Source organism: Homo sapiens, chromosome 3 (assembly GCF_000001405.40).
Source record: "Homo sapiens chromosome 3, GRCh38.p14 Primary Assembly".
NCBI lineage: Eukaryota > Metazoa > Chordata > Mammalia > Primates > Hominidae > Homo > Homo sapiens.
Genome location: NC_000003.12, coordinates 183036265 through 183052612, shown reverse-complemented (window position 1 = coordinate 183052612; position 16348 = coordinate 183036265). Strand labels below are relative to the sequence as shown.

The following is a 16348-nucleotide window of genomic DNA, read 5'->3' as shown; positions in this document are numbered from 1 at the left end:
ATGGTCTCAATCTCCTGACCTTGTGATCCGCCCGCCTCAGCCTCCCAAAGTGCTGGGATTACAGGCGTGAGCCACCGCACCTGGCTGATTGTGCTATACTTTTGTATAATGGCAGTGAAGTCGTTTTGTTGACACCAGCCTCACCACAAAACACATGAGTAATGACTGTGCTGTGATGTTATGACAGCTACAGTGTCACTAGGTGATAGGGATTTTTCAGCTCCATTATAATCTTATGGGACAACTGTTGTATATGTGGTCTGTTGTTGACTAAGAAACGTCATTATGTGGCACCTGACTGAATTGAATTTTAATGGAATTTCTAGTAAGGCAAGCTACTAATGGAGATTTATTTACATATTTTTTTCATAGCCTGGTATTAAATCTGAAGTAAGAAAAAAGCTGGGAGAAGCTGCAGTCAGAGCTGCTAAAGCTGTAAATTATGTTGGAGCAGGTAGGTTAAGATTTGCTTCTAATGGAAGAGACGTAACAGTGTTTAATTTATGTTTTAGAAGGCAAGAGAAACACAACTTTTAAATCAGTTGCTTTCAAGCTGTTTTGACCATATTCACAGTAAGAAATACATTTTATATTGAGACTTAGTATGTACACATAAATGTTTATTTTTACATACATATATATTTGAAACAAATGTTTCATTAAACAGTACTTGTCTTAATTATATGAGTTTTGATATTTTGTATTCTATTTTAAAATCACTAGATTGATTTTTTTACTTCTTTATGGTTAATAAACTTTCTCTTTTAGAGCAGTTTTAAGCTTACAGCAAAATTGAGCAAAAGGTACAGAGAATTCCCATATACCCCCTGTCCCCCACTCGGATACCCCCCAACACACAAGCTCCCACAGTATCAATATTCCTGCACCAGAGAGGTACGTTTGTTACAGTCAGCGACCCTACATTGACACATCATTATCACCCAAGTCCATAGTTTACATTAGGGCTCACTCTTGGTGTTGTACATTCTGTGAGTTTTGACAAATGTATAATGATATGTATCCACCATTGTACTATGGTATAGAATAGTTTCAGTGCCCTAAATATCCTCTGTGCTCTGTCTATTCATCCTTTCATCCCCCCTAAACCCCGGCAGCCACTCATGTTTTTACTGCCCCCATAGTTTTGCCTTTTCAAGAATTTCAGATAGCTGGAATCATACAGTATGTAGCCTTTTCCGATTGGCTTCTTTATAATATGCATTTAAGTTTCCTCCATGTCTTTTCATGGCTTGATAGCTCATTTCTTTTTTATGCTGAATAATATTTCGTTGTCTCGATGTCTCAGAGTTTATTATCTATTTAGCTACTGAAGGACATCTTGGTTGCTTCCAAGTTTTGGCAATTATGAATAAAGCTGCTATAAACACCCTGAAAACAAACAGGCTTTTGTATGGACATAATTTTTTAGTTTATTTGGGTGAATACTAAGGAGCGTGCTACTGGGTCACATGGTAAAAGAATATTTAGTTTTGGAAGAAACTGACAAACTCTATTCTAAAGTGACAGTACTATTTTGCATTCCTGTCAGCAACAAAAGAGGTTTCCTGTTGCTCCAAATCCTCTCCAGCTTTTGGTGATGTCAGTGTTTTGGATTCAGGCCATTTGGTATCTCATTGTTTTAATTTGCACTTCCCTAATGACATACAGTGTTGAACATCTTTTCATATGCATACTTGCCATCTTTATATCTTCTTTGATGAAGTGTCTGTTCAGGTCTTTCACCCATTTTTTAATCAGGTTGTTTGTTTTCCTATTGTTGAGTTTTAAGAGTCCTTTGTATATTTTGAATGACAGTTCTTTATCAGATGTGCCTTTGCAAACACTGTCAGTCTGAGGCTTGTCTTCACTTCTCAACTTTCCCTTTCTTTTTTTTTTTTTTTTTTTTTGAGACAGAGTCTCACTCTGTCTCCCAGGCTGGAATGCAATGGTGTGATCTCGGCTCACTGCAACCTCCGCCTCCCAGGTTCAAATGATTCTCCTGTCCCAGCCCCCTGAGTAGCTGGGATTACAGGCACGTGCCATCACACACCCAGCTACTTTTTTGCATTTTTAGTAGAGGCGGGGTTTCACCACTTTAGCCAGGCTGATCTCAAACTCTTGACCTCAGGTGATCCGCCCACCTCAGCCTCCCAAAGTGCTGGAATTACAGGCTTGAGCCACCGCGCCCGGCCGACTTTCCTTTTCACAGAGCAGAAGTTTTAAGTTTTAATGAAGTCCAGTATATAAATTATTTGTAGATCATGCCTTTGGTGTTGTATATAAAAAGTCATCACCATACTCAAGCTTGTCTAGGTTATATTATACTCAGCTGGCCTTGTGCTTTCTGTTTTGGAAGGTTATTAATTATTGACTTAATCTCTTTAATAAATATAGCTATTCAGATTCTCTTTTTTTAATTTAATTTTATAGAGACAGGGTCTCATATTGCCCAGGCTGGTCTTAGACTCTTGGCCCCAAGGGATCCTCCTGCCATGGCCTCCCAAAGTGCTGGGATTACAGGCGTGAGCCACCATACCTGGCCTATGCTCACTGCAACCTCCACTTCCTGGACTCAAGTGATCTTCCCACCTCAGCCTCCCAAGTAGCTGGAACTACAGGCATGTGCCACAACACTCAGCTAATTTTTAAATTTTTTAGTAGAGACAGGGTCCCCCTGTATTGCCAAGGCTGGTCTCAAACCCCTGAGCTCAAGCAGTCTTCCCACCTTGGCCTCCCAAAGTGTTGGGATTACACACATGAGCCACTGCACCTGGCCCTAGGTTCTCTCTTTCTTGTAGGAGTTTTGACAGATTGTGTCTTTGAAGGAATTGGTTCATTTCATCTAGGTTATCAAATTTGTGGGCATAGAATTATTCATAATATTTCTTTATTATCATTTTAATGTCCATGGGACCTGTAGTAATAGACCTCTTTTTGTTCCGTTACTAGCAATTTGTATTTTCTCTCTTCTTTTTTTCTTAGTTAACCTGGCTAAAGGTTATTGTGCTTTTGTTTCTTTTCTTTTTTCTTTTTTTTTTTTTTGAAACAAAGTCTCATTCTGTCGCCAGGCTGGAGTGCAATGGTGAGATCTTGGCTCACTGCAACCTCCGCCTCCTGGGTTCAAGCAATTCTCCTGCCTCAGCCTCCCGAGTAGCTGGGAACTACAGGTGCACGCCACTACACCCAGCTAATTTTTATATTTTTTTAGTAGAGATGGGTTTCACCATCTTGGCCAGGATGGTCTTGATCTCTTGACCTTTTGAGCTGCCCGCTGTGGCCAAGGTTACTGATTTTATTGATCTTTTCAAGGAACTGGTTTGGGTTTTGGTGATTTTTTTCTATTGATTTTCCATTTTCAATTTCATTAATTTTTGCTTTAATTTTTATTATTTCTTCTGCTTACTTTGGATTTAATTTGCTGTTCTCTTCTCATTAATTAAAATATAAGCTTAGATTCTTGATTTTGGTATTTTCTTTTCTAATATATACATTCAATGCTATAAATTTCCCACTAAGCACTGCTTTTGATGCATTCTACAAATTTTGAAAGTTGTATTTTTATTTAGTTGAGAATATTTTAAATTTTTTCTTGAGATTTCTTTATTGATTCAGGTGTCATTTAGAAGTGTGTTGTTTAACATCCAAATATCTTAGGATTTTCCAGATATCCTTCTGTTAGTGATTTCTAGTTTAATTCTGTTATGTTCTGAGAGCAGACACTGTTATGATTTATATTCTTTTAAATTTGTTAAGATGTGGTTTATGGTCCAGAATGTGGTCTATCCTGGTGAATATTCCTTTCTAGCTTGAGAATGTGTTCTGCTGTTGTTGGATGAAATAGTCTATAGATGACAGTTGTATCCAGTTGATTGATGGTGTTGTTGAATTCAACTATGTCCTTAGTGATTTTCTGCCTGCTGGATCATCCATATCTATTTAATAACAGATGGGTGTTAAAGTCTCCAACTGTAATAGTGAATTAATCTATTTCTCCTTACAATTCTTTTTTGCTACATATATTTTATGCTCTGTTGTTAGGTACATGCATGTTAAAAATTGTTATGTCTACCCTTTTATCATTGTTTAATGCCCCTCCTTATCCCTGATAACTTTCCCTGCTCTGAAGTTTGCTCTAAAATTAAGATGGCTACTCGCACTTTCTTTGGTGTTAGCATATTCTTTGTCTGTTTTTACTTTAAGTCTATAAGTCTTTAAAGTGGATTTCTTGTAGGTAACATATATTTGTCTTTTGTTTTTTAATCTACTCCAACAATCTCTGTCTTTTAATTGGTATATTTAGACATCAACATTTAAAGTGATTATTAATGTACTTTGATTAATATTTACCATATTTATTATTGTTTTCTATTTATTCCCCTTGTTTGTTCCTATTTTTATCTTTCAGACTTTTTCTGCCTTTCATGGTTTTAATTGAGCATCTTCTATGATCCAATTTCCTCTCCTTTTTTAGCATATCAAGTACAGTCATATGCTGCATAACACCATTTTATTCAATATAACAATGGTTCCATAAGATTAAAATGCAGCTGAAAAATTCCTATCCAGTGACATTGTGGCAACTGTAACATCATAGTACAATGCATTACTTTCTTTAGGTTTAGATATATGTAGATACACAAATACTTACCACTGTGTTACAGTTGCCTACAGTATGCAGTAACATGTTATTATTGTTTCAAATATTACTTCTGTTCCTTCCTTTCTTCTCCTTCTGGTATTCTCGTTCTGCGTAGTTAATACCTTTTGTAGTTGTCTTGCAGTGCTAGGTATTGTTCTGTTTAAGGTTTTTTTTCTCACTGTTTTTCAGAATTGGAAGTTTCTGTTGTCATATCCTCAAGTTCAGAGGTTCTTTCCCTGCCATACCCAACGTACTAATGAGCCCATCAAAGCATGCTTCATTTCTATTAGGGTTATGGTTTTTTTTTTTTCAATTCTAGCATTTCCTTTTTATTCTTTCTTAGAATTTTCACCTCTCTGCTTACATTATCTATCTGTTCTTGCATGTTGTCTACTTTTTTCATTAAAGCCCTTAGCCTGTTAATCACAGTTTAGAATTTCTGTGTCTGATAATTCTAACATTCCTGCCATACCTGATGCTTCTTCAGTCTCTTCAAACTGTGTTTTTTGCCTTTTAGTATGCCTTGTAATTTTTTGTTGAAAGATGGACATGGTGTACTGGGTAAAGAGAATTTTGCTAAACAGGCCTTTGGTAATGTGATAAGGCTGGAGGGGGCATGTTCTCTTGTCCCATGATCAGATCTCAGTCTTGCTGAGCCTGTGCCCCTGGTGTGTGAACTTCACCAGTGCTTCCTGGTATGTTTTTGTTTTGTTTTCCCCCACCCCTTAGGGTGGACAGTATGTCTGGCAAAGGCTGGAGTTGGGTATTTCTCCTCCCCCAGTGAGGTTAGGCTCTGATAAAATCCCAATCGTTTAGGCTCTGATAAAATAGTTTTTCTCAAGGGTAAACCTTGAATGTTTTGGTGTATTTCAAAGTGGTTTCATTTCCCTTCTGAGCTGGAAGCATGGGAGGATTTTTCTCTGATATTCACTGTGAAGACCTGGTAGAGCTCCTGGAGGTAAAACTCACAAAAGTGTGAGGTCCTCCTGTAACTGGGTCGCCTTGGAGTTTTTAACTCTCAGAGTTGTCCACACTGAGCTACCAGGAATTTGTCAATTACAGCTCAGGCTTCTCCTCATGGCATCTCTGTATCTGCCTGTCAGTTGTCTGTCTCTCTGGTTCTGAGGACAAGCAGCTTGCCCTGTGACCTGATTTCTCTGACAAATTTAAAAATTGTTGATTTTCAGCTTGTTCAGCTTTTTACTTGATAGGACAGAGTGGCAGCTTCTAAGCTCCTTAGATGCCGGATCAGATTGATTTTCAAATTGATTTTAAGCTGGGCACAGTGGCTCACACCTGTAATCCCAGCACTCTGGGAGGCTGAGGCAGGTGGATCACTTGAGGTCAGGAGTTCAAGACCAGCCTGGCCAACATGGTGAAACCCCATCTCTACTAAAAATACAAAAAAATTAGCTGGACATAGTGGTGTGCGCCTGTGGTCCCATCTACTCAGGAGGCTGAGGTGGAGGAATTGCTTGAACCCGGGAGGCAGAGGTTGCAGTGAGCCAAGATCACGCCATTGCACCCCAGCCTGGATGACAGAGTGAGATTCCATCTTAAAAAAAAAAAAATTGATTTTAAAATCCACTAATGGGTTGTGACCACACTTTTAAAAACAACTTTACATTGTATTCACTTTAAGCTAAGAGAAAAACACAGAAACACAGAAGACTACAAACTATATGATTTCATTTATATAAAATTCTAGAAAAACTATAGTGACAGAAAGCAGATTGGTGGTTTCCTGGATCCCAGGGTTTAGTGAAGGGACTGATTCCAAATGGGAACAAGGGAACTTTTTGGATGATGGAAATGTTCTGTAGTTTCATTGTGGTTCTGTGATTGTATTCAATTGCTAAATCACATGCCTACACTTCAAATAGTTACAGTTTGTTGTCTAAAATTAAACCTTAATAAAGTTAGGGGAAATTTTTTAGAGCTTAATAGAATGCCAATAGATATTAACATAAGGTTTAGTTGCCAAACAATCTTTCAATGGGTTACCAGCAAAAGGGCTTTAAAAAGAAATTCCTAGGAGCCCACAATCAGGGAAAAAAAAGTTTTCTTTTTCTCCATGGGGTTAGGGTGAGATGGGATGTCATGGTATGAGGCTCCCAGGATCTTGGTGCTCTGAGGCAGTAACATGTGGTCCACCCTTGTTCTCACTGTTACAAGCTGAAACGGATTCATAATTTGGGCTTACCATTTGCTCACAACCCCAAATATACTTTTCCGTTGCCAAATTTCATGCAGCTCTCTATTTTTGACTAAGATTCATATGCTGCTGCAAATGCGAGATGTTTTCTTCATGAAATGCAAAGTGTTACCATTGAATGAAGACAGCGGTAAAACTTGATGTGATGCATCATGGAAGATTTTGGTTTGCTACTGATTATACACTATTGAATATGACCATTGTTTTTTACCTTTTAGGGACTGTGGAGTTTATTATGGACTCAAAACATAATTTCTGTTTCATGGAGATGAATACAAGGCTGCAAGTGGAACATCCTGTTACTGAGATGATCACAGGAACTGACTTGGTGGAGTGGCAGCTTAGAGTGAGAATATTTTTTCTATTAAAAATCAGCCTTGGCTGGGTGCGGTGGCTCAAGCCTGTAGTCCCAGCACTTTGGCAGGCCAAGGCAGGTGGATCACCTGAGGTCAGGAGTTCGAGACCAGCCTGGCCAATGTGGTGAAACCCTGTCTCTACCAAAAATACAAAAATTAGCCGGGCGTGGTGCCGGGTGCCTGTAGTCCCCGGTACTCAGGAGGCTGAGGCAGGAGAATCACTGAGCCTGGGAGGCAGAGGTTGCAGTAAGCCGAGATCGCGCCACTGCATTCCAGCCTGGGTACTCCATCTTAAAAAAAAAAAAAAAAAGATCAGTCTTGATGGGAGGGATGTGAGGGCTGAAAAACTACCTAAATGGTACCGTGTTCACTGTTTGAGTGATGGGTTCATCAGAAGCCCAAATCCCAGCATTATGCAAAATACCCATGTAGCAAACATTCACGTGTACCACCTGAATCTATAATTCAACAACAACGACAACAACAACAACAACAAAACAGTCTTGAGAATAGGTTACTACCTTCTGGCCTCCTAAAACAGGTGTCATTTTGGACGGGGTTCAGTTCTTGGTGGTTATGAGGACAGGAAGATGGGAGGTTAAAAGTGAAGCCACATTTGATGCTGTAGCTTTTTTTGGCACTTTAGGGACTCAGATTCACTTCCCCCTAGGCCCGGGCAGCCAGCAGGTGAGATTGTGTCACAGGGGCTTGCTCACAACCACATCACCTCAAGGTCAAAGCCTCATGGTCTACCTAAGGCCACAGCATTCTGGGCCAGGCCATCATTCGGTTTCAGATCAGGGCAGATACTAGGCAAGATGAAATGAGCTAAGGCAGAGTTGGGAATGAAGAGCCAAGGAGATGGTCTAGAATGATCCAAGTAAAGTGCGGATTTATGGCTGTTGCGGGCCCATGAGTAAATGTTCATTCAGAGTAAATGTTTGGAAACTTTTAAAGCATTTTGGCATTGCTATGACATGCCTACTGTATTTTTCAAACATGTAAGTTTATAACTGTTCTTTTACTATGGATAGTTTGAGAAGCACTGGTGTAAACCAGAATTCCACAAAACATACTTCTCAAATATTAATAATAGCTTAGTCTGTTTTTGTTCTCATAAGAACAATAGATTTTACTTTAGCCTTCTTTTTCCTAACATGAAAAAAATCTGTTAAGTAATATAGACGGTCCTGATATATGTAGGATTCGTGGTTCCTTGTATATCCTGCATCTAAATTGTTTTTTCCTGGTGTGACGCCAAAATCTTGATTATTTTGGTAATTTTATCTTTTCAGAACTTCTGTAGATAATAATATGATACTCCTTTTGTTGGTTCCTTGGGGGTGATTGGTGGTTCTAATTGAGCCAAAAGGTTCTTCTAGGGCTCTATATCCTAGGGTGTTAACGAAAACCAGGCACAGCAAGCTGGTAAGTTTTAGTGAGTGTCAAGAAAAACTGTAGTGGCTTTGGAAACTTCTGGAAGGAGTGTTTATATTTCCAGAATTCAAGGAAAAGGAGGATAATTTTTCTGAAGCAGTAAATCAAGAGAGTTTCGACCTTGGAAATCATAAGAGAAAAAAAGGTTTCTAAGGATTAAGGAAGGAGAAAGCTTTTGGGTATTAAGGAAACCAGCAGACATCTATTTCTTGTAAGAGCTTGTCAAGGCTCTTCAGAAAGAGAAGCCAGCTTTTATCATCTGGGGAGGGACACTAGAACTTAGGGAAGCTGCTGGACCTGGTTTATAGAGTTCAAGGCATTTGGCATCTGGCCTTCAAACAGAGGTAAAACAAAGGGGCTCACCATTTGGTGAGTCAAGAGTCTAAGCTCGAGGACCTGCCTGTGCAGTCAAGCCTTCCTAGAACAAGGGTTGAATGATGACTGATGTAAGTGTCCTGGGTTCAGGCTGCAGATACAGATAGTTAACAGTGTTCAGGGAAAGCTGGTGAAAATGTCAAGGTTAGGGGTTCCGGAGAGCCAGTGTCAGCCTGAGAGAACTCAAATGGCACATATCTCCAAAGACCCAGAGGCATGATTGGGGCCTGTCTTTTCTGGGCTCAAGTGGAAGCCAAGCTTGGAGGAAAATGGACAGGCAAAGACAAGTCAAGGTGAACACAAGAGACAGAGTTTTGCTCTTTTTGCCCAGGCTGGAGTGCAATGGCGTGATAGCTCACTGCAACCTCTACCTCCCGGCTTCAAGCAATTCTCCTGCCTCAGCCTCCCGTGTAGCTGGGATTACAGGCGTGTGCCACCATGCCCGGCTAATTTTTGTGTTTTTAGTAGAGACAGGGTTTCACCATGTTGGCCAGGCTGGTCTTGAATTCCTGACCTCAGGTGATCCGCCTGCCTCGGCCTCCCAAATTGCTGGGATTACAGGCATGAGCCACCACACCTGACCCAGAATTATTTATTAAAACGTTAAAAAACTGGTTCCAAGTCTATTGTGAACAGTGCTGCAATAAACATACACATGCATGCGTCTTTATAGTAGAGTGATTTGTAATCCTTTGGGTATATACCCAGTAATGGGATTGCTGGGTCAAATGGTATTTCTGGTTCTAGATCCTAAGGATGGAATGATAATAGGTAACATAGTGCTGACTGTATGCCAGACACTTTTCTCTGAAGCATGGAAAGCTTAAGAAACTTGTCTAGATGACAAAGTAAGTATAGAGACAAAATTTGAACCTAGGCAATCTGTCTGCAGAGCCTGAGGTGTTTTCAAAATATACTGCCATAAAGGTATTTAACTTAGTTCCGTTTCCTTTCATTCTTAACTGCTGTGCATCCTGATCTTTCATATTTACAGATTCAGAAAAATGAAACTTTTGCTTCTGTTTTATACTTACCGGTTTAGTTCAATGTCATGCTAAGTTACTTAGAGTCTAGATTTTCCTGTATCTATATTGCTTTCTCAGGTTGTCATTTTCTCATCTTGGAAAAAAACTTAAGAGTAAAGAGAGAAAGTGCAATGTGTCCTCCAATAGCCATTTCCAATTTATACTAGTTAATTGAAGAGAGTGATTTGTTGTATTGGTACATAATAACTAAAATAGTAATAATTATAGTAACAACAAACAATAGTGATCACCCTGTTTGTAATCTGGTATCATGCAGTACATATCAACATAACAAAATTGAAAAACCATCATTTTCCCCTTTCTGTTTTGCTTTATCACCCACTTACTGGTGAAGATTACAGCGTAGGATGACAATGTCAGCTACACTTTTTGCTTGGCTGTGAATCTAGTCCTAAACACTAATAATATACTATTTTTTAAAAAAAATTGATTTGGGAATTAAGTGCTAATGTTTTAAATGAAAACTGAGAGTGTGTTGCTAGTAAGAAGTTTTGGTTTTGATTATATTGAACAAACACTGATTTTTATATTTGTAAGTTAGCCATCACTTTGCCTGCTTTTGCCATTTAAAAACTCCGATACCCCAAATGATAGACTGTTGCCAAGCTGCATCTGTTTTTTAATTTTTTGTTTTGCCCAATACTCAAATGAGTAGACAAAATAATAGTTTTTATTTGGCTGCATTGCAAAACCTAAATGTACATTTTACCTAGAAAAAAAGCAAGACCATTGATTTACTAAGTCTGGTAGCCGCTATACGGTAGATTTCATAAGAAACACTATTCTATTGCCAGATTGCAGCAGGAGAGAAGATTCCTTTGAGCCAGGAAGAAATAACTCTGCAGGGCCATGCCTTCGAAGCTAGAATATATGCAGAAGATCCTAGCAATAACTTCATGCCTGTGGCAGGCCCATTAGTGCACCTCTCTACTCCTCGAGCAGACCCTTCCACCAGGATTGAAACTGGAGTACGGCAAGGTAAAGTGAAAGAAAATGAAAAGTCTCACTCTTTTTAAGTTTTTAGTACATTATTGTTTTTGGACACATTCTTATCCCTGAGTCTTACAGAACTGTCTAGCATATTTTAAAATAAAGAATTTAAGTGATTTCTCAGTAACCATTACTTTTTGCCTCTGGAATTGTTATTTTTAAAGAATAACAAGTATTTTTCAACAACGGACTCCTTTTTTTTGAAATTCAGCAGTACTTGGTCAAACCTAACCAGGAAATATTTTGTGTGTACTGTTCTTGACCTTGCCTCATTCCAAAAATGATTTAAGATGACTGATATCTGCTATGCACAAGGCAGACTGCCTTCAAAGGACATAAAGTCAAGTTGGAGAATTAACACATAAACTTAGTATAAGCTAAACAATAAAAAAATTAAAGTAAAGAAACAGTGGAAGAGCTATCACAGTTCAGCATATGATTAATAACAGTGGTCATAACTAGTGATTATTTAGGACTTCCTACTTACAGGCACTGCTCTAGGTGATTTTTCTACTTGTGTTCCTTTCACCATGAGAAGTACCCTGTAAGTAGGCATTATTATCATCCCTGTTTTCTAGATGAGGAAACTGGAGCACAGAAGAGTTAAGTGACTTGTCCAAGGTCATCCTTGGAGCCAAGATTCAGACCCAGGCAGTCTTGCTCCAGAGTCAGTGCTCTGAGCCTCCACGGTCTCCTGTCATCTTAATTTCAATTGCTGGAATAAGTTATACAGTGATGGGATATAGCAATTCTCAGGGGTAAGAGGTCACACTAGACTGATATAATTAGGACAAGTTTTTTGTTTGTTTGTTTTTTTGTTTGTTTTTGTTTTTGAGACAAGGTCTCACTCTGTGCCCAGGCTGGAGTACAGTGGTGTGATCTCAGCTCACTACAACCTTTATCTCCCTGACTTAAGCAGTTCTCAGGCCTCAGCCTCCCGAGTAGCTGGGATTACAGGTGTATACCACCATGCCTAGCTAATTTTTTTTTTTTTTTTTGTATTTTTAGTAGAGACAGGTTTTCACCATGTTGGCTAGGCTGGTCTCAAACTCCTGGCCTCAAGTGATCTGCCCACCTTGGCCTTTCAAGGTGCTGGGATTACAGGGGTGAGCCACCGTGCCTGGCCAGGACAAGTTTTTAAGAGGATGTCTGGAATGGATTTAGATAGGTAGATTTAAACAGCATAATGAAGAGTGAAGAAAAGAGAAAAAGGTATGTTTGAAGAATAGTAAGAAAATATATGACTGGAGACATGGGTTGAAGGCAAATCCTAGTGTCCTAAAAGCCAAAATGAGGATTTAGATCTTCTTAAAAATAAATTGGCAGCATTTTGAGAGCTCTGGATAAGCCACAGCAAGATTTGGTAGTTAGTAGACTTTTTAACTTAGCAAAGCATCTTAACTCTGCTTGCCCCACCGGTTCCTTCCTTTTTTTTTTTTTTTTTTTTTTTTTTTTTCTGAGATGGAGTTTCACTCTTGTTGCCCAGGCTGGAGTGCAATGGCACGATTTTGGCTCACTGCAACCTCCACTTCCCAGGTTCAAATGATTCTCCTTCCTCAGCCTCCTGAGTAGCTGGAATTACAGGCACCCGCCACCACGCCCGGCTAATTTTTTGTATTTTTAGTAGAGACAGGGTTTCACTATGTTGGCCAGGCTGGTCTTGAACTCCTGACTTTGTGATCTGCCCACCTCGGCCTCCCAAAGTCTTGGGAGTACAGGCGTGAGCCACCTGTAGGCACCTCTAATCTTATCAACGAGGACTCTGGGGTTCAAAGAGGTCAAGTGACCTGCCAAAATCCTGGAAAGACCCTGCAACAACGTTCTTTTCAACACACCACATCCTTTCTACTTGAACCATTTCTAACCAGTGGAATGTGCCCTGGTTCAGATTCTTGTTCTCTAGGACTGTAACCATCCCAGTGATGATAGCTGCCATTGGTTTATCAGTTTTGCCAGGTATGGCACTTGTCACTTTATTGTCACTCCTCCCAGCAACCCTGCAGGACAGAGGAATTATTAAACTTGCTTGACTAGTACGGAAACTGAAAGAGTGGAGGGGAGGGGAATGCTAAGGGCAGAAATGAGGGGAATGTGAGAGGGTGGAGGGAGATTGTGTTGACTTTGAAAATGAGAAGGGAAAAGAAGATTCAGAAGAAGATAGGACAGGGAAAGCCAGCTTGTGTGCCATTGAATCACCACGTTAGGGCCTGGTGCTGTTGGGTGGCCCACCTCGTTACACCTGGTGAGTTTTCAAAGCCCTCTGAACCTCAGGGTCCTCATGAATAAATTTGTGTTGTTATTTATCATGCAGGGGTTTATGAGGATTAAGCGTGAAATGTACATAACAAAATGTCTTGCTCGTTGTATTTTATTCCTTCGTGTTTTGACTTGAAGAGGTTACCGTGGTTTTCAATTTCAGGAGACGAAGTTTCCGTGCATTATGACCCCATGATTGCGAAGCTGGTCGTGTGGGCAGCAGATCGCCAGGCGGCATTGACAAAACTGAGGTACAGCCTTCGTCAGTACAATGTGAGTGATCTGAGACCGTGCCAGTGACCTTGATGTGTTTGGTCAGCACCAGAGGTCAGCCTTTGTCTTTGGCAGGGCCTTGGTCTCGTCAGCATATTTTCTATTTCCATCAATTGCCCAAACAAAATAGTTTCACATGGGAGAATTTTGCGTGGGCCAGAACAGGGTTTGAGGACTTCTTCATTTCAGTTACAAAAGAAAGATTGCAGAAGTAAAATTGTTAGTGTCAGTGCTATGCTTCGGTGAAATCCTATTCACTCTGTAGATAAGGCCAGCTATACATGGTACCTTCGTAGGTTTTTTATTTTTCCTAAGAGCTGTCCACAGTAGAAAATACTTAGGAAATAAAAGCAGATGTTTTCCTGAATGTTGTTTTCGCTACCCAGTATGCCTGCAGTCCAGTAGTTTTTCTCTAAAGTAAAATAATTATGTTCAGTTTCATCCCTTTAATAGAGTTTGTTATTTTTCTGTAGAACATTAATTTCCTTGGTGCAGAAAGTCCCATACCACATTGATTTGGCTCATAGAAGGATTTATTAACCCAGTTATTCAACTTGTTATTGTTAATAATTGATCAAAGCTCTGGTCTCTGTGGCTCCAACCACACTGGCCGCCTCACCGCTTCTGAGACTCACTCAGCATGGAGCCATGCATTCCTGTCCAATCTTCCAGAATGTTCTTCCCCCACATGATTGCAGGGCTCCCTCCTGACTACCCTGCTCTCCTGCTCTGAGCCCTTTCCCAGGCTGCCCCATTTAAAGTATGACCTTTTGTTATTCTTTATCCTCTTAGCCAGCCTTCATTTTCTTCATAGCATGTAACATTATATTCAATACCTGTTTACAGATATTGTTACTTGTTGCCCTAGAATGTAAGCAGAGACTGTGAAGGCAGGGACATCATATGTTTTGTTCCTCACTATGTCCCCAGTGCCTGGATCAGAGCCTGGCACTTAAGAGATGCTCAGGAAATGGCTGTTAAATGAATGAAGGAATGGATGAGTGAATGAATGAACCCAAAGCTCAGATAGCTGGTTTTACTTTTGATCCCATTTATTGGTGTATTTGGGTTAATTTTATACCTTTTAAAATTTTTGTATCGGTATATAAAATTTGGATTTTATTGTTGGAAAGAAGCTCTTTTGAGGGCATTTAATCCTATCCTCTCCCCAGTATAGCAATCCAGCTTGCTGTTTGCAGTCTTCCTATTCTGTGGAAGTGTTCTGAGCAGCAAGTCTTCGATACCTTGCAAATGAATTTCATTTATGTTTCTTAACATTTATTATGTTCCTAACCTGAGTCAAGTAAGTGCCTCGGTATTTCCAGCATCCTCTTTGTCATATTAAAATGTAATTTTTAGTGTCAAGTCCAGATGGATATAGTAATAGCGGATGGACATAGTGATAGTGAGATGGTTTTTTTGTGTTTTTTTTCCTGAGAATTGTCCTGTTGCCACATGGTACCTTAGTAGGTTTTTTATTTTTCCTAAGAGTTGTTCACAGTAGAAAATACTTAGATAAAAAGAGCAGATGGTTTTCTGAACATATTGTTTTCCCCACTCAGCAGGAACTGGGGGTTTATTCTCTTCCTAGATTGTTGGACTGCACACCAACATTGACTTCTTACTCAACCTGTCTGGCCACCCAGAGTTTGAAGCTGGGAACGTGCACACTGATTTCATCCCTCAACACCACAAACAGTTGTTGCTCAGTCGGAAGGCTGCAGCCAAAGAGTCTTTATGCCAGGCAGCCCTGGGTCTCATCCTCAAGGAGAAAGCCATGACCGACACTTTCACTCTTCAGGCACATGGTATGGAAGGCTTTTCTCTTTCCTCTGCTTGTCAAGTTTTGCAAATCATCATTGAACATGCTTTTCTTTCTGTATGGCACACTGACCTCTCTTTTCTCCTCTCAGTGACTGACACCATTCTTTTCAGATGTGTTTTTTAGTATGAAGGAAAGCTCTTCACTTACCATGGATGCACCCATAAACACTATTTAACCCATTAACTGGAGTGTAACTAATCACCTAACATTGTAGAAATGGATCTCTTTGGCCAGGCGCGGTGGCTCACGTCTGTAATCCCAGCACTTTGGGAGGCCAGGGCGGCTGGATCATGAGGTCAGGAGATCAAGACCATCCTGGCTAACACGGTGAAACCCCATCTCTACTAAAAATACAAAAAATTAGCTGGGCGTGGTGGCACGTGCCTGTGATCCCAGCACTTTAGAAGGCCAGGGTGGGCGGATCATGATGTCAGGAGATCAAGACCATCCTGGCTAACATGGTGAAACCCTGTCTCTACTAAAAATACAAAAAATAAGCTGGGTGTGGTGGCACGCACCTGTAGTCCCAGCTACTCGGGAGGCTGAGACAAGAGAATCGCTTGAACCCGGGAGGCGGAGGTTGCAGTGAACCGAGATCGCGCCACTGCACTCCAGCCTGGACAACAGGGCGAGAGTTCATCTAAAAAAAAAAAAAAAAAAAAAGGAAATGGATCTCTTTTCAGTCAAACACTTGTTCTCCCCACATCCTACACTAATTTCTTATCACTTCTTTTGTTCGCCACTCCTCATAGCCCTACTTTGTTTTGTCCTCTGTACCTGCAGCAACTCCCTTTGTCCCAGAGTCTCAAGACAATCTAAGACTGGAGACTTAGATTCCCCAGGGTTACCCATGACTTATTGTCGAATTACTTCCGCTTTTTCCATCCTGTGATTGAATGTCTACCTAGAGACTTCATAGTGTCATAGAATCCAAGC

General features: G+C 40.2%; 1 protein-coding gene across 13 annotated transcripts in view; it reads left to right on the top strand.

The window, feature by feature from the left end:
• MCCC1 (methylcrotonyl-CoA carboxylase subunit 1) overlaps positions 1-16348 on the top strand; it is a 100979-nt gene that overhangs the window by 63584 nt on the left and 21047 nt on the right. For 10 of the 13 annotated variants that reach the window (NR_120639.2, XR_007095707.1, XM_047448586.1 and 7 more), the window contains 5 exons: positions 373-454; positions 7073-7200; positions 10863-11046; positions 13478-13587; positions 15179-15395. Coding sequence is in view for 10 of the 13 variants with exons in the window: in XM_047448586.1 (XP_047304542.1) it covers positions 373-454; positions 7073-7200; positions 10863-11046; positions 13478-13587; positions 15179-15395 (721 nt within the window). In the remaining 3 variants the exon portion in view is untranslated. The remainder of the gene's footprint in view (positions 1-372; positions 455-7072; positions 7201-10862; positions 11047-13477; positions 13588-15178; positions 15396-16348) is intronic. The other 3 variants (NR_120640.2, XM_047448591.1, XM_047448590.1) reach the window with 1 other exon arrangement.